Consider the following 23,890-nt stretch of genomic DNA (forward strand, 5'->3'; position numbering starts at 1 on the left):
GGAGGCAGGAGACTAGAAGGCTGGCACCGAAATAGAATCTCCCAGAGTCTTAGGTTTGCCTTCAAAAGCTCAATTATTCTCAAAGATAAAATTTTACATAAAAATAATATCACATATGAGTGAATTGTATGGTATGTGAATATCTCAAAGCTGCTAAATGAAATTTTAAAAATAGATTATATGACTAAAATATATTTGATGTTTAAGTGTCATTTCAGAATACATAATATCTTAATTGATATTATCTAATAATATTGACTTTTTGAAGGAAAAATAATATTCAATTATTTCTTTAAAAACTAATTCTTTGGGGAGGATTGACCATGTACAACCATGGCAGAGGCTCACTAAACTGTGATTCAGTCGTTGAGGTAGGGATTTTTTTTTTTTTTTTTTTTTTTTTTTTTTTTTTTGAGACGGAGTCTCGCTCTGTCACCCGGGCTGGAGTGCAGTGGTGCGATATCGGCTCACTGCAAGCTCCGCCTCCCGGGTTCACGCCATTCTCCTGCCTCAGCCTCCTGAGTAACTGGGACTACAGGCGCCCGCCACCATGCCCGGCTAATTTTTTTGTATTTTTAGTAGAGACGGGGTTTCACCGTGTTAGCCAGGATGGTCTCGATCTCCTGACCTCGTGATCTGCCCACCTGGCCCTCCCAAAGTGCTGGGATTACAGGCGTGAGCCACCGTGCCAGGCCCGAGGTAGGGATTTTTAACCTATCATGAATCCCATTTAAGAAGGAGGAAGCTGAGGCTGCAAGAGGTTAAGTGTCAGAACTAGTATGATGTGGAGCCAGGTTCCAAAACCCAGTATATCTTCCTCCAAATACATTAAAATCTTGGGTACTTTTTATTACTATTCTTAGCAGGGACTCTCAGGAATATGACAGTAAAATGAACATAGATCTGTTCTTTGTAATCAGGATTGTCTCTGGATGGTCACTTAGCATAAACATTTAATATAATATTGGCTGGGCTCACGCCTGTAATCCCAGCACTTTGGGAGGCTGAAGTGGGCAGATCACTGGAGATCAGGAGTTCAGGACCAGCCTGGGCAACATGGTGAAACTCCGTCTCTACTAAAAATACAAAAATTAGCCGGACGTGGTAGCAGTCACTTGTAATCCCAGCCACTCGAGAGGCTGAGGCAGGAGAATCACTGGAACCCGGGAAGTGGAGGTTGCAGTGAGCCGAGATTGCACCACTGGCCTCCAGCCTGGGTGACAGAGTTAGACAACATCTCAAAAAAAAAAAATTAATAAATAAAACTAAAGGAATATTTGGTGTAATTGACAAAAAACTCATAAAGATTGGTTGTAATTTATGTTTGAAGCTTAAAGACCTAACAAACTAATATCCTTAAGCTCTAAGTAACTATCATTGATCAAGTAAAGCTCTGTTTATATCATATTGCCAAATTTAGCAAATAAAAATTATAAATATAAACATATACACCTTAAGTTTGAGTTTCAGATAAACCACGAATTATTTTTTAGTATGTTTATGTCTTATGCAATATTTTTTGTATTTAATCTTGTAATCCTATCAGGGTTTTTAAATGGTGAAATTTATCATTGCATTAAAAACAAGGAAAAAGGCTAAAGTAGTACTATGTGAAAATGTGCACAAATTCTAGATACGTATAGAATTCAAATACTCCTTTCTAGCACTTAGTACTTTAATGAGGTAAGGATTTAAATGATCACCAATAATTATATTAGGATGGCTTTGATTTATTTTTAAATGTCATTTCAGAACACATTAAAAGGCTATGTGGACTGTAGAGCCCTTATTTTCTGCCCCAGATGACAAACTCATGGTGTAATCTCGAGCAGAATATTTAAAACAAATGTTTGTCTGGATGTAAGGTTATTATAATTGGACCACAGATCTCTCCTGACAAAACCCAGAACCAACGTGTCACCTTGGGTTTCACATCGTCGTCAATTTGAAGTGCCTTGAGGGGGATACCATGGTAGGAACAGAGCTCAGAGTTCAGTCTGAGAACTCAGTGATGCTCCCCAAGGGAATCGAGTCTTACCATCTAGTCAGTCTCTCCTTTTACTAATAAGAAATACTTGGGGTTCTACTCTCTCTTAAGGTTGCATTTTGTAATCTGCAAAATGGGGCTGCCTGTTTCATAAGGCTATTGTAAGAATCAATGAGATAAAAGCATTTAATTTGATCAAATAATTGTTGTAAACTGAGGCTACCCCAAAGAGAGCTATCTGAATCATCTAGTCAGAACCTGAAGGAAATTGAAAGATTATTCTATGTCTCTTGCCTTAGAGATGGCGTTAAAAGGCTTTCTAATTAGCACAAAGAGAAGTCAAAGCAGGGCTGGAGCCACACCCTTTGGTCCCCAATCCAGTGCTTTTCCCAACTTCGCTATGTTCCCCCTTAGGTAGGGGTGAAACGGCCTCTCCTAGACGTTAAAATCTTACACAATATCCTGAGTGTGAGTTAAGGAAAGGAAAGACGGCAGGAGAAAGACACATAAAGTAGAAATTAAAATAGTAACAGGATTGTCATTGCAAAGAGCAAATTGCCACCCAGGCTGTCCAAGATCAGAATAGCAATGGGAATTGTCCTGACTTCCAATTTGGCATCCTCTGCATCAATCACATTTAGTAGTCCTCATGTAGGCTCATGGTGGGAGTGGTCAATATCATCATCACTGCTGCTGTCTTAAAGGATTTAGGAAGAGTTGTACAAAGAGAATCGGCCTTCCTTCTTCCAAAGAATACTCCTATGGCAACATGGAAACATCAGCGTTCCTTTTATAGACAAGAGGGCTTAGAACAGTGTTTCGTGCATAGCAAGAACTGAATATGTATTTTGTACTGATCAGGACTCATTCAGATGCACTCAGCCAAAAGTTCATTTCAAAATTTATTCCTTTTGGGAAATGGTGCATGAACCACTTTAGCATGCTTCACCATGGTGGTTAGGTAGATGGTGGACTGAGTGAGAAAACGACAAAACTCTTACTAAATAGTGACACTGTGTGAAGAACCCTGCTAGGCGCCTTCATACAAATCACCTGGTTTCAACCCTGTGACCATTAAGTGAATAATTGTGTCATCTCTGACACAGGAGGGAACTGAGGCTCACAGAAGTTATGTGGATTGTCAGGGGCTGCAGAGTAAGGATGTGGTAGACCTGAGATTGGAACCCGGGGCTTCTGGGGGCAAGTCCTGCGTAAAGCAATGGTTTTGAGATGCTTCAGATGTAAGCAAACCTTGGTCTTCAAGTTCTATAATTGGACTTTTCTTCCTATTATGTGAAGAATAGAAAACACTTAATCGTGGAAAAGTTCTTATAAACCAAGTAAGATTAAAGGAAAATAGGGTATGTAGAAAATCTGGCTTGCTTTGTTTGAAAGGGAGACTGAAGGAGTCTTTAAGATCCAAGGAGAAAAGAAAGAAAAAATTGCCCAAACAGCCCAGGAAGGAGAAGAAAGGATGAAAGGGACGGCTAAGGAGGATAGAGGAAAGGAAACTGGGGATCGTTGTCACAGCCCAAAGTGAGGCTTCAGGGCAAGATTAGGGAAGGCAGTCTGGATGGTCATAAGTAAAACTACTGGGACATCATGACCCTGCATTAACGTAGAATGAGTCTGGTTATCAATGGGCAGCTTAAGAAAAACAGAATGGCAAATCTACTTGTCATGTGACAAATAAAATGGGATTGTCAATTATTTATTATTATTATTATTATTTTCATCCATGACCTGTGAATCAATTACTTTTATCTGCACTGATGGAGAAATGAAGAGTTCCCCTTCAAAATAACTTCAGAGCAGCTTGCGCTTGGGAAGCACGTGGATTCAACCTGGCTTCTGCCTTTTACTTAAGCGGAATGGGCTTTATCCATCTTCAGGGGCAGAGAGAATTAAGATTAAAGCCAAAACAATTGATATGTTTTAATAGAAACAAATCCAGTCCTCTTCTCTGAGGTATTGACCTCGTTTTAAGGAAGAAAAAAAGACAGCGAGAGAGAGGTTTTGTTGCTAAAGCTGGAATACTCTTTCAAAGAATCTAATGATCGCTTATTAGAATAAAATTAAATATGTGAAATATTTTTTAACTAAAAGCAGGATTTTCAAATATTATATAAGATAACCATAACATATGGCATTGTTTGAAGGCATGCTGTTTAAAGTGAGAGCAATTCTGCAAATTAACCGTAAGCTACTTTGAGAATCCCATCTTATTGTTCAATAAGACTCTGGACCCCACGCTGTGTTACTGCAACAGCTCCATTGTGGCGGTGCCTGGCAACCCGGGTGGAAATTAAAATGACAAAGCGGCTAGTCCAGCATCTTGACCGCGGCAGATCTCTCTAGTCACCCTGCAGCCGCTCCTCACCCACAAATTCACAAGCAGCCAACCCAAACTGTACATTTTCAGAAGAGCTCATTACTCACAGCTGTACAGCACGCTGAAGGCCCTCTCGTCTCTGTCCTCTCCGAAGGCGGGTATGTTAAAGGAAAGTGGCCCCTTACCTCCCCCAAGCAGCTGCAGTGGCCGAGCCCTGGTTTCCCAAGGCTCAGGGGACGGATGGCCAACAACACCATGGAGCCTGCCCGTCCCCAGGCCGCTCCTGCAGCTGCCCTCGCTGGCCACCCAGCTGGAACCTTGGACTTACTGGGGGCTGTGGGCATCAGGGTCTCTCGGCCTTTGTTTTCCTCCAGTGCCATCAGCAGTTCCCAGCGTGACTGTCCCGCAGCCGCACTGGGTCCAGGCGGCTCCTGCCGCAGTCAGTCGCTCCCCCTACCCAGCAGCCTTTTTTTTTCTTCTTAAAGAGACAGGACTGTCATCAACCTTAGGTGTCAATAATGCTGCAAGTGCAGCATTGTCGTTCATTGTGGGGGTGACAACCAACCACACGTTTTTGTTCTCTTCACTTGCAAAGGCTAATTTTTAGCAGTAGGTATGGCTAACAGAAGACTGGCTCTATTAAACACCAGTTGTGTGACCTTAGACAAGTCACTCATGGGTCTCGAGTACCTCATGGGAAATGAAGACCTGTGACCTGGTAATGTTGTAGCTCACAATCTGCTTTTTGTATGTTATTTGGAGTTGTTTATGAGGTTCCAATGGTTAAAAAAAAAAGCATTCACTCAAAATGTGTGGTAAACTGTGAAATGCTATACAATTGATCCTGTTCTAAGTTGAAATTGCTAGTCTCAATTTAATAATACAAAATATTGTAACTCTATTTTCTTGCTTCCTCTGATGGGGTATGTGAAATACCACCAGCATTTATTTCATTTCGGCGCACAGCTATCCTGCCACTGGCCTGGGTACATCATATTCCTCATGATAGTCTCCTAGTAGAACTGCCTGCTTTATCCATATAAATCTAGAATTTTGGCTTATCTGGAAATACTGGATCTCGGAAGCTTCTTATTGCTTCGTTCCTGCGGAAAATTCCTCTTAAGTCAGTTCAAACAACTCCAGACCTGAAAAGGCTCAAATGATCTCTCCTGGGAGAAGACCAAAGCAAGCCCCAAATGTCAGCAGCAACTGGGGAAGGAGAGCCCCTGCTTCTTGTACCTGGCCCTGCACTGGTCTGACCCAGAAGATGCCACATCTAATGGTGTCTCCTTCACATCCTAGACTCACAGATTTGTGTACATATTATTTCCTGGGAGATAGGTGGGAGACCTGTTCTAACAAAAGGACTGAATAATCACAAACAAAGCACATTTCTATTGGGGAGAAATGGTGTCTTGCAGGGCCTTTTCATTGAGCTCTCACTGTAGCACCGTGTGGACCAACAGGCCCTCGGTGGCATGCGCCTGTGGAGTGAGGCTGCCTCTCTGAGGCTACCACCATTCTTACATGGTTCAGTTGTAATCAGTTTAATTCAGCACACAAATATTGAGCCCTTGCTTGTTCCTGGCATCAGCTAGACACCGTAGACTAAACGGTGAATACCCAGTATGTTGCTCCCCCAGCAGGCTCTTCTACTCACAGCTGTAAACCATTACACCCCCAAAGGGAAAAGTTATAAATAACTACATATATATAAACTATATATATAATATATATGTATAGTTTTCAGAGAGGTTAGACGATTTTGCCTACCTACTCACACTACATAAAAGTATCCAGTGAAATATTGATTATTCAGAAATAGTGTTGCTTAGCCAGGTGTGGTGGTACATGCCTGTAGTCCTAGCAACTCAGGAGGCTGAGGAAGGAGGATTGCTTGAGGCCGGGAGTTTGAGACCAGCCTGAGCAACATAGCAAGACCTCAGGTTGGGCGCAATGGCTCACGCCTGTAATCCCAACACTTTGGGAGGCCGAGGTGGGTGGATCACTTGAGGCCAGGAGTTCAAGACCAGCCTGGCCAACATGATGAAACCCCATCTCTACTAAAAATACAAAAATTAGCTGGGTGCAGTGGTGTGCACCTGTAATCTCAGATACTTGGAGGCTAAGGCAGGAGAATTGCTTGCACCTGGGAGGCAGAGGTTGCAGTGAGCTGAGATTGTGCCACTGCACTCCAACCTAAACAACAGAGTGAGACCCTGTCCCAAAAAAACAAAAACAAACATAGCAAGACTTCATCTCTACAAAAATTAAAAAATTAAGCAGGCATTGGTCGTGCATGCCTGCAGTCCTAGCTACTCGGGAGACTGAGGTGGGAGGATCACTTGAGCCCAGGAGTTTAAGGTTACAGTGAGCTATGATTGCACCACTGCACACCAGCCTGGGCGACAGAGTAGACCTCATCTCTAAAATTAAAAAAAAAAAAGACAAAAAATAGTGTTGCAATGTAGAAGTCAAAGCTTAAATACCCTTGTGAGCACTGCCTGTGATACACCTTGTTACTGTTACAACAAATTGCATGTGTTTATATGTGACTTTCTACACATTTGGAAGGTGATTTCATGTGCATTGCAAGCCCTTCACTATGCCACTGTCCAGATACAATGGCACATGAAATAAACCATATGAGTTCATTTACACTTATGGTGCCATTTATGCTATTGGAATGTTGTTGTCAAAAGATTTAGACTTTGTCCTAAAAATTTAAGAAAGCAAAGATTTCTGGATAATTCATGAACCACAGATCTTCCACATTCTGGGCAAAGATTGACCGTTAACATACCCAAGTCAGAGGTCAATCTGTCTGTGATGGTTAATTTTAGGTGTCAACTTGACTGGGCTAAGGAATACCCAGATAGCTGGTAAAGCATCCTCTCTGGGTGTGTCTGTGAGGGTGTCTGCCAAAGAGACTAGCGTTTGAATTACTAGACTGGGTAAAGAAGCTCTGCTGTCACCCATGTAGACGGACATCATCCCACATGAGGGCCCAGATAGAGAACCAAAAGTCAGAGGAAGAACAAATTCTCTCCCTCTCTCTCCTTGAGCTGGTACATCCCATCTTCTCCTACCTTGGACATCAGAGGTCCTGGTTCTCAGATCTTCAGACTCCAGGACTTACACCAGCACCCCACCTCATTCTCAGGCCTTTGGCCTTCTACTAGGATTTACACCATCAGCTCGCCTGGTTCTCAGGCAGTCAGACTCAGACTGAATCACACCAACAGCTTTCCTTGTTCTCCAGCTTGCAGATGGCAGATCAGGAGACTTACTGGCTTCCACAAGCACATGAGCCAATTTCCATAATAAATCCCTTCTTACATATCTATAAATATCTTTAGTTCTGTTTCTCTGGAGAACCCTAAGTCAATGTCTCCACCTTACCCTAAGCTGAGCCTAGAACATGAGAAAATATGACCTGGTGCCACGGCTGTCCAGAACCACAAAAGTGCAGCTAGAGGATGAGTCTCTGCCACTTGTCCAGAGGTTTCAAAGAGCTGCTGCAATATGCTGACTCCTTCCCCTGGATCCTCCCAGCTGCTGCTCCTACCGTGCCAGTCTTTCGTTCCAGCCATATCACGTGGCCAAAGCTCTGCTCACATGTGGCCTGGAGACCACATGGTTTTCTTGGCCTCTTCCTCAATCTGTATGAGGGTCAGATTTTATCAACTCAGAAAGGTTAGCAGCTCAACCTGAATGATACAAGCTAAGTCTCGGCATCTAGTCATAGTTTTGGAGTCTTAGCTTCTGTATCTGTGATGGTTAATATTGAGTGTCAACTTGATTGGATTGAAGGCTGCAAAGTATTGTTCCTGGGTGTGTCTGTGAGGGTGTTGCCAAAGGAGATTAACATTTTAGTCAGTGGCAGAGGCAGATCCACCGTCAATCTGGGTGGGCACAGTCTAATTAGCTGCCAGAGTAGCTAGGATAAAAGCAGGCAGAGGAATGTGGAAAGATTAGACTGGCTTAGTCTTCTAGCCTACATCTTTCTCCAGTGCTGAATGCTTCCTACCCATGAATATTGAACCCCAAGTTCTTCAGCTTTGGGACTCTTGGACCTTTGGCCACAGACCAAAGACCAGGAGTCTACGCACTGTTGGCTTCCCTACTTTTGAGGTTTTGGGACTCGGACTGGCTTCCTTGCTCCTCAGCTTGCAGATGGCCTATTGTGGGACCTCACTTTGTGATCGTGTGAGTCAATACTCCTTAATAAGTTCCCTTTTATATATACATCTATCCTATTAATTCTGTCCCTCTAGAGAACCCTGACCAATATCACCGGTTTTACTAACTCACTGGCACATCATGCCAGCATGCTCAATAGTAATGATTGCTCTTGTCAGGGATTATAGAGATTAAATATCTACAAACCAGGAACTGTCTGGGAAAGTCACATGATTTTTGACCTTCAGTTTTTTCATCTGTGAAATGGGAATAGAAGCATACCTCGTTTTATTGCATATCACTTTATTGCACAATGCAGATTCTATGTTTCTTACAAATTGAAGGTTCATGACAATCCTGCCTTGAGTAAGACTATTGGAGCCATTTTTCCAACAGCACGTGCTTAGTTTGTGTTTCTGTGTCACATTTTGGTAATTCTCACAATATTTCAAGCTCTGATTATTATATCTGTTATGGTAATCTGTGATCAGTGATCTTTGATGTTGCTATCGTAATTGTCTTGGGGCTCCACAAGTGGCATCCATATAAGACGGTGAATTTAATTGACAAATGTTGTGTGTTCTGACTGCTCCACTGACCAGCTGTTCACTGTTTCTCTCTCTCTGTCTCTCCCCTCCTCTCTCTCTGCCTCTCTCTCTCGCTCCCACTCAGGCTTCCCTATTCCCTGAGGCACAACAATATTGAAATTATGCCTGTGAATAACACTACAGTGGCCTCTAAGTGTTCAAGTGAAAGAAATAATCACATATCTCTCGCTTTAAATCAAAAGCTAAAAATGAATGAAAAATGTTCATCATCAGTAATCATCAGAGAAATGCAAATCAAAACCACAATGAGATAGCATCTCGCACAATCAGAATGGCTATTATTAAAAAGCCAAAAAATAATAGATGTTGGGGAGGCTGCAGTGAAAAGGGAACACTTATATACTGTTGGTGGGAATGTAAATTAGTTCAGCAATTGTGGAAAGCAGTTGGAGATTTCTCAAAGAACCAAAAACAGAATTACCATTCAATTCAGCAGTCCTATTACTGGGTGTATATGCAATAGAAAATAAATTGTCCCACCAAAAAGACTCATACACTTTGTATGGTCATCACAGCAGTATTCACAATATCAAAGACATAGAATCAACTTAGATGCCCATCAATAGGTGATTGGATAAAAAAAAGTGGTACACATACCAAGGAACAATACAGAGCCATAAAGAAGAATGAAATGGAAGCAACTAGAGGCCATTATCCCAAGTGAATTAACGCAGGAACAAAAATCCAAATACTACATGTTCTCACTTATAAGTGGGGGCGAAGCATTGGTACACATGGACGTAAAGATAGGGGGAAAAAGACACTGGAAACTGCTAGATGAAAGAGTAGGGGAGGGGGCCAAGGGCTGAAAAACTACCTATTGGGTACTATGCTCACTACCTGGATGATGGGATCATTTGTACCCCAAGCGTCAGCATCATGCAATATACCTGTGTAACAAACCTGCACATGTACCTCCTGAATCTATAGAGTTAAAATCATTTTTTTAAAAAGCTAGAAATGATTAAGCTTAATGTGTATAGCATGTCAAATACTAGATGGGTCAAAAGCTAGGCCTTTTAACTCCAAACAGATAGCCAAATAATGAATGCAAAGGAAAAGTTCTTGAAGGAAATTAAGTGTTACTCCAGTGAACACATGAATCATAAGAAAGTGAAACAGTCTTTTAATTGATATGAAGAAAGTTTTAGTGGTCTGAATAGAAGATCAAACCAGCTACAACATTCCCTTAAGCCAAAGCCCAATATAGAAAAAGGCCCTAATTCTCCTGAATTCTGTGAAGGCTGAGAAAGGTGAAGAAGTTGCAGAACAGTTTGAAGCTACCAGAGGTTGGTTCCTGAGGTTTGAAGAAAGAAGCCATCTCCATAACATGAAAGTGCAAGGTGAAGCAGCACGTGCTAATGGAGAAACTTCAACAAGTTCTCCAAAAGATCTAGCTAACATAACGGATGAAGGTGACTACACTAAGCAACAGATTCTCAATGCATGTGAATAATATGGTTTGTCTGTGTCTCCACCCAAATCTTATCTTGAATTGTCGTTCCCATAATCCCTGCATGTCATGGGAGGGACCCAGTGGGAGGTAATTGAATCATGAGGGCAGTTACCCCCATGCTGCTGCTCTCGTGATAGGGATTTCTCACTAGATCTGATGGTCTATAAAAATAAAATAAAAATAGAAACTAGGACCAGCTACATAATTTTCAGGTCCCACTGCCAAATAAAAATACTGGGTACTTTGCTGAAAATTATTAAGAATTTTGAGATATTGGCAGTGGAGCATTAAACCAGGCATTGTTTAATCCCTTCTGGGCATGGGATCCTCTGTGACTTCATAAAGCCGGACCAGATAGAAACAAAGAGTATTTATATGTTAACTGGGAAGTACAATGCATTCTATCTGTGGTTATGATTATGTAGTATATACGTGCATGTGCAAAGAACCTGGGAATTAACTCCAAGTCACCAAAATAGCTACTTTAAGGTGGTAAAATCATGGAGTAGCAAAATCTTTCATGGTCTTTATATTATTTTTGTGAAAAAAAGTTATTTAAAACAAAAACTTTTAGGCCGGGCGCAGTGGCTCGCGCCTGTAATCCCAGCTCTTTGGGAGGCCAAGGCAGGTGGATCACCTGAGGTTGGGAGTTTGAGACCAGCCTGACCAACATGGAGAAACCCCATCTCTACTAAAAATAGAAAATTAGCCAGATGTTGTGGCACATGCCTGTAATCCCAGCTATGTGGGAGGCTGAGGCAGGAGAATCACTTGAACCCGGGAGGTGGAAGTTGCAGTGAGCTGAGATCACACCATTGCACTCCAGCCTGGGCAACAAGAGTGAAACTCCTTCTCAAAAAAAAAAAAAAAAAAAAAAAAAAAAAATTAGTCAGACGTGGTGGGCAGACCTGTAATCCCAGCTACGTGGGAGGCTGAGGCAGGAGACTTGCTTGAACCTGGAGGCGAGGTTGCAGTGAGCCGAAGTCACTCCATTGCACTCCAGCCTGGGTGACAGAGCGAGACTCTGTCTCAGAAACCAAACAAAACAAAAACAAACAAAAAAACTTAAAAAAATCAGCTGCCTTTGCTCTGGACAAAGCCTGGGTGTGGAGCTGCTGCCATGCACCAGACGAGAACTGAGCCTGACAGCCAGTCAGGCCTCTTACCCTAGGATAATGAAAGCCAAGGAGAAAAAAACACACATATAGTCTGTTGGTAAGGAGGAAAGACAAGACCAAATGGTGTATGAAGTGGTGGAGATGCCTATTTTTGCCAGGTACCAAGTCTGGTAGCCTGTGCTCACTGAACGAGCCTTAGGTTCAGAGTGGGTGGGGAGTTTCAGTCCAGGCCGGCCTGCCCGGAGCGCACCACAGGGCTGCCTTCTCAGGTTCTGGCCTCGGTCCTTTCAGGAAGAGTCTCAGAGCACAGAAACTGCCAATTGCTATCTAGTTGGAGCCTTATTTGGGCTTTGGAGGTGCTTCCATTCTTACCACATGACAGTTCACGAGGTGAAACCAACATGATCCACATGCAGACCCAGCTCCACTGCTACCTCACAGTTGACAGGGGTGCCCCCTGCTCTGCTCAGTCAGGAATGTTCACAAAGTTTCCAGGGTGCACAGAGTGACTGGCAGAGCCAGAGCTCTGGTCCCAGTCTGTGCACACCACATCCAGCAAAATGAGCCACTATCGCTGCCGCCTGGAGATTCGAATGCTGTGGCATTTCTCAGCACACAGCCTCATGCTCTTCTCTAATGGGTGCTTTGGGATATCCCTGTTTCTTTCCCCGTCCTGGGGACCTTTCTGCCCCCTGCGTTAAGTTGGTTGTTCAAGCTCTGGTTAAGGGCTCTGCCACTCAGCATGACACAGCCAGCGTGACGGGAGCTGAGTCACAGCCAGCTGATGGGTGGCACAGCCAGAGGGCTCACTCCGGGCCTCTTGCTCAGCTGGTAGATGTCCCTCATCACGCTGGTTGGCTGCTCATGGAGCCACTTCCAGATTTAACCACCATATAATAATAAACACTTTTTACTCAATTCTTAGTTAGGTCTGAAGTCACACAAGTTGGATTTTTCAATATTGTATTTTTAGTAGAGATGGGGTTTCACCATGTTGGCCAGGCTGGTCTCCAACTCCTGACCTCAGGTGATCCACCTGCGTCGGCCTCCCAAAGTGCTGGGATGACAGGCATGAGCCACCGTGCCCAGCCACCCTTGGTTTATTTCTAATTATATAAGAAAACTTATGTTTTCTCTCCTGTTTTCTTGATTACCAACTACAAGTTTATCTGTATTGTTTTTCAGAGAACTAGTTACTGGATTTGTCGATTCCTTTTTCTGTTTTGTAATTTATTTCTGCAATTTATTCCTTCTGTTTCCTTTGACTTCTTTTGTTTTTCTTTCCCTAACTTTTTGAGCTGAATGCTTTATCCATTTATTTCTTTATTTTTAAATAAATATGTGACAAAGGTCATGAAAGCTCCTCTGAGTACCCCTTTAACCAATTATTCTGCTTTAATATGCAGTGTTCTTATCATTTTTATTTAGATATACGTTAATCTGGGTTTTGATCTTTTTCTCTGAGCCATATGTGGTTTAAAAAGAATTTTGTCATTTCCAAGTGGTTAATACTCATTTTGATTCTATTTATGTTGAAAATATGTGGTCCGACATTATAGGTTATATTTTTCCAATTGTTGTTAATTTATCATGATTTTCTTTGTGTCCTTGATGATATATTATTGTACCATGGGTCTAATTAAGAGATTGTGCATTCTCTTTTATAATGAAGTTCAATGTATAACTCTTACCTCAACTTTATTCAGATCCTCCATGCTCTTAATTTTAGCCTATTTGCTCTGTCATGGTTGACAGCGATCAATTAAATTTTCCTACTACTATTATTTCTGTGTCCCTCTTTGTCTCAATTAACAGCTCCTGCCTTAAATTCAACCTTGTCTGATATTAATATTATCTCAATTTTTTTCCTATCATTTGCTTGACCATTCTAAGATAATTTATTTAGCTTTGTATCTTGTATAATAATCTGCAGTTTGGATTTGGCATTTTACTTATTTTAATATTTATTTTCTTGTAGTAAGTGAGTTTATCCCACTGACACTTACAACATATTTTTGGTATAAATTATCTGAACCTCTTTTAGTTTTGGGGGAGGTTGATAATAGATATAAATAAATAATAAGTAAATGATTCCAGTGATTGTAACTTCCATGCAGAGGCTGAAATAGGTTATGATAGAAAGTGTCTGGGATGGGGGAGTTCTTTAGCTAGGATGCTCAGAGAGGTTTCTCCAAGGAGATATTACTTTAGCTTATTCAATAAATTCAACAAGTACTTTTTGATTGCCTATATATGGCAAACATTTACTGGGTACTGGGCATACGGCAGTGAACATTTATGCCCTTGGAGAGTTTACATAGTAATGAGACCTGGATGATGAGATGTTAGTGCTGAGATAGAGGCAACTGGCTAATCTCTGCAAAGAAGAACTTTCCAAAGGAGAAGAAATATCACGTGCAAAGGCCCTGAGATGGGAAAGAACAGAGTGCTCAAGGAACATAAGGTTATGACTAGAGCCTAGTGAGGAGAGAAGAGAGTGGAGGGAGGTGTGTGATGGAGGCAGGCAGCAGCCAGATTACAGAGGCATTTGGCACGGGAAATAACATCTCTTTATTACAATTATCCTGGAAAGCACTGGGTCTGATTTACATTTAAGACAGATCACTTTGGCTTCTCTTTGAGTAGGGCAAGAGTAAAAAGAGGAAGTCCAGCCAGATCGCATTTGAATCATTTCAGGTGAGAAATAATAGTGATTTAAACTAGAGTTGTAGACATGAGGATGGTGAGAAGCAGACAGATTTGGTGCATATTTTGATAAATTGTACTGATAGATTGAATAAGGCAAGGAGAGGAATCAAGGATGACAAAGGGTCCCTGAAGCCCACAGCTGAGCAAATGAGCATTGATGATACTGAATTGTAATATGGGGCAGCTTCAGGGCCTTCAGACTGCAAGCAGTGGAAGGGGAACCAGCAGCTCTGCTAGAGGCGAGCTGGGCATTTTGTCTTTTTGTTGTTGCTTTCCACTTCAAGTTCCGTCTTTTCCAATACACTCCTCGTTTTTCTTCCCCTAAGCATTTTTTATTTGGGAAGTTTATATTCTGCTTTCAATTATTTAAGCTGTTCTCTTTACAACATTAAGTAACGTGTCTAAATGTTTGTTTCTCAATATATCAAGTTTAAAATAGAAGTAGAAGCTATAGGCCATCCACTGCAAGAAATGGAGAAATTAGATCTCTTTCCTTTCTCTCCCTCCAGTTTTCAAAGGAAAATAACATTCCTGCTGTGTAGAGAATGGGAAATCAGGGAGATTGATGGTTGGTTTGGAGTGGCAACTTTACTAGATGAAGGGTACCCAGACAGCTGGGAAAACATTATTTATTCTCAAGGAGTCAGTAGGCACTGCACCCATCCCTCTTCTGCTGAAAGGGAAATCCAGGTGGTTTGGCACTTGATGAGGATGATTGGGCTGTCCCAGCTGTGTCTGTGAGGGTGTTTCTGGAGGAAGATGGTGTGGGCCTCAATGTGGGTGGGAACCTTCCAATTGGCTGAAGACCCAGATGGAACACAAAGGCAGAGGAAGGGCGAATGCTTGCTCTCTCTTCTACAGTAAGGATGCCATTCTTCTCCTGCCCTTGGATATCAGAACTCCAGGTTTTCCAGCCGTTAGACTCCAGGACTCACACCAGCAGCCCCCCTAGCACTCTCAGGCCTGTGGCCTCCCTAATTCTGATGCCTTCAGACTCAGACTGAGCCACCCTACCAGCTTCCCTGGGTCTCCAGCCTGCAGCCAGCCTGGCGTGGGACTTTTCAGCCTCCATAATCAAGCGAGCCCATTCCTTCTAATAAATTCCTTCTCACATATCTCTCTCTATATCTCTTACCAGTTCTGTCCCTCTGGAAAACCCTAAAACAGGACCTAATGATACCTAAAGTCACCATCTCCTCTTGTGTTGCAAGGCAGTAAAGACTAATGAAGGACCACTGTACCCTATACATGCAGGCTCAGATCTCTCAAAAATGAAGGTTTGAGTAACCCAATGGAGTAAAGGACCCCAATTGTTGAGGTGCTGCCTAAAAACAAGGAGAACTGGTGTGGTTTGCCTATATCCACACCCAAATCTCATCTTGAATTGTATCTCCCACAATTTCCATGTGTTATGAGAGGGACCCAGTGGCAGGTAGTTGAATCATGGGGGCTGGTCTTTCCTGTGCAATTCTCGTGGTAGTGAATAAGTCTCATGAGATCTGATGGTTTTCAAAAGGGGAGTTTCCCTGCACAAGCTCTCTCTGCCTGTTGCTATTGTGTAAGATGCAGCTTGCTCCTCCTTGCGTACCACCATGATTGTGAGGCCTCCCCAGCCATGTGGAGCTGTAAGTCCATTAAACCTCTTTTTCTTCCCAGTCTCAGGTATGTCTTTATCAGCAGTGTGAAAACAGACTAATACAGGAACCCAGAATGAGTGGTGAAGAAGGAAACTCTTAAATAGTTTTGTAACCTGTTGCAGAAACAGGGCCTACTGCATCCACCCATATTTCAAATTAATATGTGGGATATTGGTTGGTGGTAATGAACTTTACAGCTTAATCCACAAGTTGCAGATCATAAAATGAGTTTAAAAGAAGTTAAGGAAGAAAGTATAGCACCCTGAGATACGGGGCCAGACAAACACGAGAGACTGGTTTGTCTACCTTTACAAAAGGTATGAGTGTCATTTTTGGTTGTATGACCGATTATTGCAGTATATAAAAAGAAAGCATTTTTTTATTTTTCTTTTTTTAACTGTAAATGTTAAAAGAAGAGGGTATGTATTAGTTATCTATTGCTGTTAACAAATTATCCCCAAACTTAGAGGTTTGAAACAACAAACAGTATCTTACAATTTCTGAAACTCAGGAATCTGGGAGCAGCTTATATAGATGGTTGTGATTCAGTGTTTTTTCTTAGGTTAAAGTCAGGATGTTGGCTGAAGCTGCCATCATCTGAAGGCTTGACTAGAGCTGGAGGCTCCTCTTCCGAGATGGTGCCTTCCCATGCTGCTGGCTGGATGCCTCAGTACCCACCCTGCAGACCTCTGCATAAGGCCCTCTTGGTATCCTCACAACATGGCAGCTGGCTTCCCCCAGAGCAAGCAAGTCAGAGAGAGAACAAGAAGGAAACCTTGATGCCTTTTACATTTTAATCTCAGAAGCAATGCACTTTCACTTCCATGATATCCTGATCATTAGAAGCAAGTCACCAAATGCAGCCCAAACTTAAGGGGAGTGGCTCCACCTTTGAAGGGAGGTGGGTTGATGAGTTGAGGATTCTAAATCCCCACAGGGCATATGGCCTGGGCAGTCTGGGCACATTTGCATTCTTTTTAACCACTCAGCATCAGAGCAACATGCCTATCTGAGGGGACACACCCACTGTGGGGAATGCTCCGTCCTTGTTTCTGGCAGCTAGGGCACAGCCCATTACCTAAGCACAGGCTATGCAAATAAATCCATGCTTTAGGCATTGAACCTTCAGGGAATGCTTCATAAGTGTGGGGCTGGTTGAGGAAGAACTCATGGCAGTGGTAACAGTAGCTCCACTCACACTCCTGGGCATCATCGGGGGCCTGAGGAAATGATGCAGGCATTGGTGCTACCCTCGGCCCAGCCTTTCTTGTCTTCTGCCTATTTTCCCAGCCTTCCTGACAACACAATGAGCTAACCAATATCCTTCCAATTATTTTCTTTTCTGCCTGTTCGCCAGGGTCCATGAGTGACGGGCAAAGAGAACTTTGTGGAAGGCTTCCTGTCAGATGCACTGACAAGAAAACTACACTAGAAAACCTATGCTAATTTTGTCTTTTGTTGCCATTGCTTTTGGTGTTTTAGACATGAAGTCCTTGCCCATTAAACTAAAGAGCTTCTGCACAGCAAAAGAAACTACCATCAGAGTGAACAGGCAACCTACAAAATGGGAGAAAATTTTTGCAACCTACTCATTTGACAAAGGGCTAATATCCAGAATCTACAATGAACTCAAACAAATTTACAAGAAAAAAACAAACAACCCCATCAAAAAGTGGGTGAAGGACATGAACAGACACTTCTCAAAAGAAGACATTTATGCAGCCAAAAAACACATGAAAAAATGCTCACCATCACTGGCCATCAGAGAAATGCAAATCAAAACCACAATGAGATACCATCTCACACCAGTTAGAATGGCAATCATTAAAAAGTCAGGAAACAACAGGTGCTGGAGAGGATGTGGAGAAATAGGAACACTTTTACACTGTTGGTGGGACTGTAAACTAGTTCAACCACTGGGGAAGTCAGTGTGGCGATTCCTCAGGGATCTAGAACTAGAAATACCATTTGACCCAGCCATCCAATTACTGGGTATATACCCAAAGGACTATAAATCATGCTGCTATAAAGACACATGCACACGTATGTTTATTGCGGCATTATTCACAATAGCAAAGACTTGGAACCAACCCAAATGTCCAACAATGATAGACTGGATTAAGAAAATGTGGCACATATACACCATGGAATACTATGCAGCCATAAAAAATGATGAATTCATGTCCTTTGTAGGGACATGGATGAAATTGGAAATCATCATTCTCAGTAAACTATCACAAGAACAAAAAACCAAACACCGCATATTCTCACTCATAGGTGGGAATTGAACAATGAGATCACATGGACACAGGAAGGGCAACATCACACTCTGGGGACTGTTGTGGGGTGGGGGTGGGGGGAGGGATAGCATTGGGAGATATACCTAATGCTAGATGACGAGTTAGTGGGTGCAGCACACCAGCATGGCACATGTATACGTGTGTAACTAACCTGCACAATGTGCACATGTACCCTAAAACTTAAAGTATAATAATAAAAAAATAAATTAATTAAAAAAAAAAAAGAAAGAAAACCTATGCTAATATTTTACATTATTCTTCCAGGTGTTTGAAGTTAGATTTGAATTTAATTTAAATGCATCAACAAGTGTTAATGACCCCCAAGGCAGTCCAGATATATCTGGAGTGTGTTAGCTTACTAACAATTCTTTTTTTTTTTGAGATGGAGTGAGCTGAGATCGCGTCACTGCACTCCAGCCTGGGCAACAGAGCAAGATTCCATCTCAAAAAAAAAAAAGAAAACACTAATGCTCACGGTGGAATAAAAGACTGCCATGGGCTGCCATGAGGTTATATTACATATTCTATTTTAATTAATACCAAATAAAACTCAATTTGTAGGGAAGAAAAATATATTGTGATTTATATGTATGTTCATGTTTACTTGTATGTATTCATACTTCTGTACTTTTAAGTGTTTTCAAAATTATTTGTAATCCTAAAACTAATGACTCATGCAAAAAACAAAAAAAGCATGTTGATTAGGTCATAGAGGATCAGATTCAATTCTTTGTATAATTACAGATCCACTAGGAAATTTTCCCAAACTGTAAACTGCCTGCAGCAGATGGAAGCTCTCAATGTCTCTCAAATTATTAAGTAAAATGATCTGCGTGAGTCAGGGTTCAACCAGACCAGTGGGAGATATGTATGAGGAGCTTTGTTGGAAGGAATTGGCTTAGTCTATTGTGGGCCAGGCTGGGCAAGTCTGAAATTTCCAGGCTAGGCCGGCATTTTTGTCACAGGCTGATCTGCCGACCACAAGTAGACTTTCTTCTTCAAGGGCTGCTTTTTAGGGCCTTTCACCTGTTTGAATCGGGCCCACCCAGATTATCTAGGATCATCTCCCTTACTTAACGTCAACTGCTCTTGGACTTTAATCATATCTACACAGTATCTTCACAGCAGCCCCTAGATTACTGTGGGATTGAATAACTGGATGGTAGACTCACCAAATTGAATGTCAGAAAACTACTGCACTCTTCCTCAGCTCTTAACTCCAGAGGGGCTCTTTAATGCAGCCATGCCAGAAGTCTATGCCTTCTTCTTTCTTTTTTTTTTTTTTTTTTTTTGAGACGGAGTCTCACTCTGTTGCCCAGACTGGAGTGCAGTGGCGTGATCTCCACTCACTGCAACCTCCACCTCCCGGGTTCACGCCATTCTCCTGCCTCAGCCTCCCGAGTAGCTGGGACTACAGGCGCCCTCCACCACACCTGGCTATTTTTTTTTTTTTTTTGTATTTTTAGTAGAGACAAGGTTTCACCCTGTTAGCCAGGATGGTCTCGATCTCCTGACCTCGTGGTCTGCCCACCTTGGCCTCCCAAAGTGCTGGGATTACAGGTGTGAGCCACCGCGTCCGGCCAAGTTCTGTCCTACTCAGAAGTTACTGTTCCTGCCAAAAGCTTTGACCATAACCTTGTAACTCAGTGTCCCCATAGGAGCACAAGACTTAGAATCCAATACGGACTTGGTTATGAGGAGAGAGAGTACATCCAGAAAAACCCTGCAAAGCTGTGGATTAACAAGGGAATGTAGAAATAATCCTCTAAGGCCGGGTGCAGTGGCTCATGCCTGTAATCCCAGCACTTTGGGAGGCCGAGGCGAGTGGATCGCTTGAGGTCAGGAGATTGAGACCATCCTGGCCAACATGGCAAAACCCCATCTCTACTAAAAATACAAAAATTAGCCAGGCGCAGTGGTGGGTGCCTGTAATCCCAGCTACTCAGGAGGCTGAGGCGGGAGAATTGCTTGAATCCGGTGGAGGTTACAGTGAGCTGAGATCGTGCCATTGCACTCCAGCCTGGGCGACAGAGCGAGACTCCATCTCAAAAAAAAAAAAAAAAGAAAAAAGAAAGAATCCTCAGATTCTCTTCATCTGCCCACTCACTGCAGTCAGTTTTTCAACTAAAGAATGAAAAGATTCTTTTGCATCCCTTTCCTCTTCTCCCAGGAAGGATGGCTTTGTGTAACTGACAACTGAGGTCCATGGACAACAATGTACTTGTTTTGCAAGTCTAAAAACAAAGAGTTGTTCCCCAGGGGGAAGGGGGCAAACTGAATCACTCTACCAGAGTTTTCTGTGTAAAATTTAAACAAAAGGTTGCAAGTTGGCAGCAATTAGCATGGAGGCAAGAGCAAACACACAAAAGAAGGTTGGGAAGAAAGATGGGGAGAGCCGGAGAGGAAATGGCATCACCAAATGGCCAAATTGTGTCGTTTGAACAGTCAAACTAAAGCCAACCACTGCTGGCCCCTGGACCTACACTTCTGTAAGAGGAACACTGAGATTTCACTGGGGGAAAGCCAATTTTCATAGTTTTTCTATTAAGAATAAGAAATGTGGCCGGTCAGACAAAAGCAATACCTGCTGCAATGTCTGTCCTGCCTCCCTCAGCGGACTGCTATATGAATTAAATGTGGTAATGGACACCTATAAGCAAGTTTCTAAAAGAAGGAGTTTTAAGGTAGTGGCCAGCACAGTGCCTTGCACAGGAAAGCTGTATGGGAAACGTATGCTTAATTGTACTTAATTATTAATACACCACAACATGCATTAAGCAAATGGTTTATTGAGGAATTTTTGTCTTTTCCTCACATAAGAGCAAATAAATATTTGAAATATTTGGTTTTTTATTCATGAAAACTGATACATTTGATTTTTTTTCATAAAAACACTATTGTTTGAAAATTCACCGTTTTCATTTAAATATGTATTTCCACTTACGGAAAGATTTTAAACAATGAGTTAAGCAAGTTATAGCTATATTTGTAGCACTATGCTAGTCCATCAAACTTGAAAAATGCAGAAGTTACTTTGAACAATTAACTTGCTGGCTCACTTTGCTTAAACAAGGAGGAAACTGTGGATCTATAAAACTGGAAAAAATTATGTTATGCCCCAAGTGAACTTTTCAAGGTCATCAAAGACCATCTCTCTGCTTCAGGGCAGCGTAAATTGAAACCACCCATGAGAGATGAGTGTCAGCCTCGCCTGTCATGCCACCTGCTCCTCATTAATCAGAAATGACATCTGGAGGCAAACGTGCCCTCTCAAATTCTGGAAGGCATTCTGGTGCATGATGACAGCATTTTTCCTTTGATCACGAAAGAGAATTGTACTTATTCAAGTTTTGCAAGAGCGGATTATGACTTCATGTGAACTATGGAAAACTGCCTCCTATTCTCTTTTATACCATTAAATAAGCCTTACTTGTTTGTAAAGAATTGTTTGCCATAATAACTGAACTATTACACTTTATCACTTTTAGAAAGATTAACATTAATCTGGAGGCAGCTGTCACAGTGATTAAGCAGAGAGACAATTCCTTGATTGAATGCCCAGCTTCATCCCTTAGCTGGGTGACCTTGTGCAAATTAACTACACTCTCTGTGTCAGGATTCTCTCATCTGTCAAGGGGAGTGTATTAATCGTGTTTTTTGTTATTTTCTGTATTTTATAATGCTTTGACACGTTGGGGGCCTTGCTGGCCAGGGAGAGACCGCCCCTCCCATGGCTAATTCCTAGAGAAAGCTAACAACTTGCCCCTGTGCATGCCTTTCATATGCAAACCAATTAATCCAAAGTCCATGTCTCCAACCACCTCCTTTATCACATTTGCACACACCAAGCCAGTATTTCTTCTATCCTAAATCACCCCAGGACCAGGCCCCAGACACCTAGAGACCTCCCCCACAGCCCCAAGCACCCAGAAATCATTCAAAGCATGCAATCCCAAATGTGCTCCAACTTGCCTCCCCTGCCTCACCTATTCCTTCCCACAAAAACTTCAAGGGCTCTGGGCATGTTTTCTTCTTCCCTCCTGCTGAACCCTAGCACTTCCCGGGTGGCCCTGCACAGCTTGGCAACTGTCAGTCATGAAACCCCTTTCAATGGCATTGGCCTCTCGTATGGATCACTCAGTCCCCTTCATAAATTAAATTCTGGGTGCAGGTGAAATGGGGATGTATTGATGGTTCCCACCTCCCGGTCTGGGATGAGGATAAAGCAGTTTCATGCCTATGAAGCTTGCAGAACAGCCCCACGTGGCTCCCCTCCAGGGTCTAGAATAAGCCCTCTCTGCACTGCACTGGCCTAGGCCCTTCTCATCTGTCACCTGACAGCCTCCCTGACTCCCTATTTTGCCAGTTCTGTCCTCCTTAGAATACTCATTTTCCTTCTTTCTGATTTGCACACTCCTCCCTCCCAAGAGTCTGTCACTGGTTGACCATGACCAAGACCATCGATTTCTCCCAGAGGTCCTGAGCCTCGCCCATGCACCCATCTCCTCCTTGCTGTGCACTCACACCTGACCAATGTTGATTTGTTGGAAAGTGCATAGCCAGCTGACAGTAGCATTATCTTTAAATGCAAGCAAGACATTCTTTTTTTTTTTTTTTTTTTCAGACAGAGTTTCACTCTTACTGCCCAGGGTGGAATGCAACAGCGTGATCTCTGCTCACTGCAACCTCCACCTCCTGGGTTCAAGCAATTCTCCTGCCTCAGCCTTCTGAGTCGCTGGGATTACAGGCGCCTGCCAACACGCCCAGCTAATTTTTGTTATTTTTAGTAGAGATGGGGTTTTGCCATGTTGGCCAGGTCTCGAACTCTTGACCTCAGGTGATCCACGCACCTCGGCTTCCCAAAGTGCTAGGATTACAGGAATAAGCCACCACACCAGGCCTTTTTTTTTTTTTTTTTTTTAGTGGAGACAGGGTCTTGCTCTGTGGCCCAGGCTGGAGGGCAGTGGTGCCATCTGGGCTCACTGCAACCTCCACCTTCTGGGTTCAAGTGATTTTCCTGCCTCAGCCTCCCAAGTAACTGGGACTACAGTCGTGTGCCACCACACCCAGCTAATTTTTGTATTTTTTAGTAGAGATAGGGTTTCACTGTGTTGGCCAGGCTGGTCTTGAACTCCTGACCTCAAATGGTCCACCCACCTTGGCCTCTGAAAATGCTGGGATTACAGGTGTGAGCCACCACACCCAGTACAAACAACACACCCCCTTTTTTTTTTTTTTTTTTTTTTTGAGATGGAGTCTCTCTCTGTCGCCCAGGCTGGAATGCAGTGGCGCGATCTCTGCTCACTGCTAGCTCCGCCCCTTGGATTCACACCATTCTCCTGCCTCAGCCTCCCAAGTAACTGGGACTACAGGCACCCGCCACCACGCCTGGCTAATTTTTTTGTATTTTTAGTGGAGACAGGGTTTCACCGTGTTAGCCAGGATGGTCTCAGTCTCCTGACCTCGTGATCCGCCCACCTCAGCCTCCCAAAGTCCAACAACACACCCTTAATAACACTTACTACAAAAACTCCTGCAACAGCAGCATTCACCAGATGCTC

General features: G+C 42.8%; 1 protein-coding gene across 8 annotated transcripts in view, besides 4 other annotated features; it reads right to left on the reverse strand.

The window, feature by feature from the left end:
* Window positions 1-4,735, reverse strand: part of SACS (sacsin molecular chaperone) — a 104,873-nt gene extending 100,138 nt beyond the window's left edge. For 4 of the 8 annotated variants that reach the window (XM_047430261.1, XM_047430257.1, NM_014363.6 and 1 more), the window contains exon 1: window positions 4,648-4,735. The gene's annotated coding sequence lies outside the window, so the exon portion shown is untranslated. Of the gene's footprint in view, window positions 1-4,426 lie in introns of all 8 variants that reach the window. The other 4 variants (XM_047430262.1, XM_047430258.1, XM_047430256.1 and 1 more) reach the window with 1 other exon arrangement.
* Window positions 3,987-4,554: an enhancer, noted in NCBI's record as "OCT4-NANOG-H3K27ac hESC enhancer chr13:24007093-24007660 (GRCh37/hg19 assembly coordinates)". NCBI's record gives its function as "activates a minimal SCP1, AML or CMV promoter by ChIP-STARR-seq in naive and primed H9 embryonic stem cells {active_cell/tissue: H9 hESC(naive and primed)}" and the evidence as "EXISTENCE:reporter gene assay evidence [ECO:0000049][PMID:30033119]".
* Window positions 11,688-12,188: an enhancer, noted in NCBI's record as "H3K4me1 hESC enhancer chr13:24014794-24015294 (GRCh37/hg19 assembly coordinates)". NCBI's record gives its function as "activates a minimal SCP1, AML or CMV promoter by ChIP-STARR-seq in naive H9 embryonic stem cells {active_cell/tissue: H9 hESC(naive)}" and the evidence as "EXISTENCE:reporter gene assay evidence [ECO:0000049][PMID:30033119]".
* Window positions 12,189-12,689: an enhancer, noted in NCBI's record as "H3K4me1 hESC enhancer chr13:24015295-24015795 (GRCh37/hg19 assembly coordinates)". NCBI's record gives its function as "activates a minimal SCP1, AML or CMV promoter by ChIP-STARR-seq in naive and primed H9 embryonic stem cells {active_cell/tissue: H9 hESC(naive and primed)}" and the evidence as "EXISTENCE:reporter gene assay evidence [ECO:0000049][PMID:30033119]".
* Window positions 19,659-20,498: an enhancer, noted in NCBI's record as "OCT4-NANOG-H3K27ac hESC enhancer chr13:24022765-24023604 (GRCh37/hg19 assembly coordinates)". NCBI's record gives its function as "activates a minimal SCP1, AML or CMV promoter by ChIP-STARR-seq in primed H9 embryonic stem cells {active_cell/tissue: H9 hESC(primed)}" and the evidence as "EXISTENCE:reporter gene assay evidence [ECO:0000049][PMID:30033119]".

Source organism: Homo sapiens, chromosome 13 (assembly GCF_000001405.40).
Source record: "Homo sapiens chromosome 13, GRCh38.p14 Primary Assembly".
Classification (NCBI taxonomy): Eukaryota; Metazoa; Chordata; class Mammalia; order Primates; family Hominidae; genus Homo; species Homo sapiens.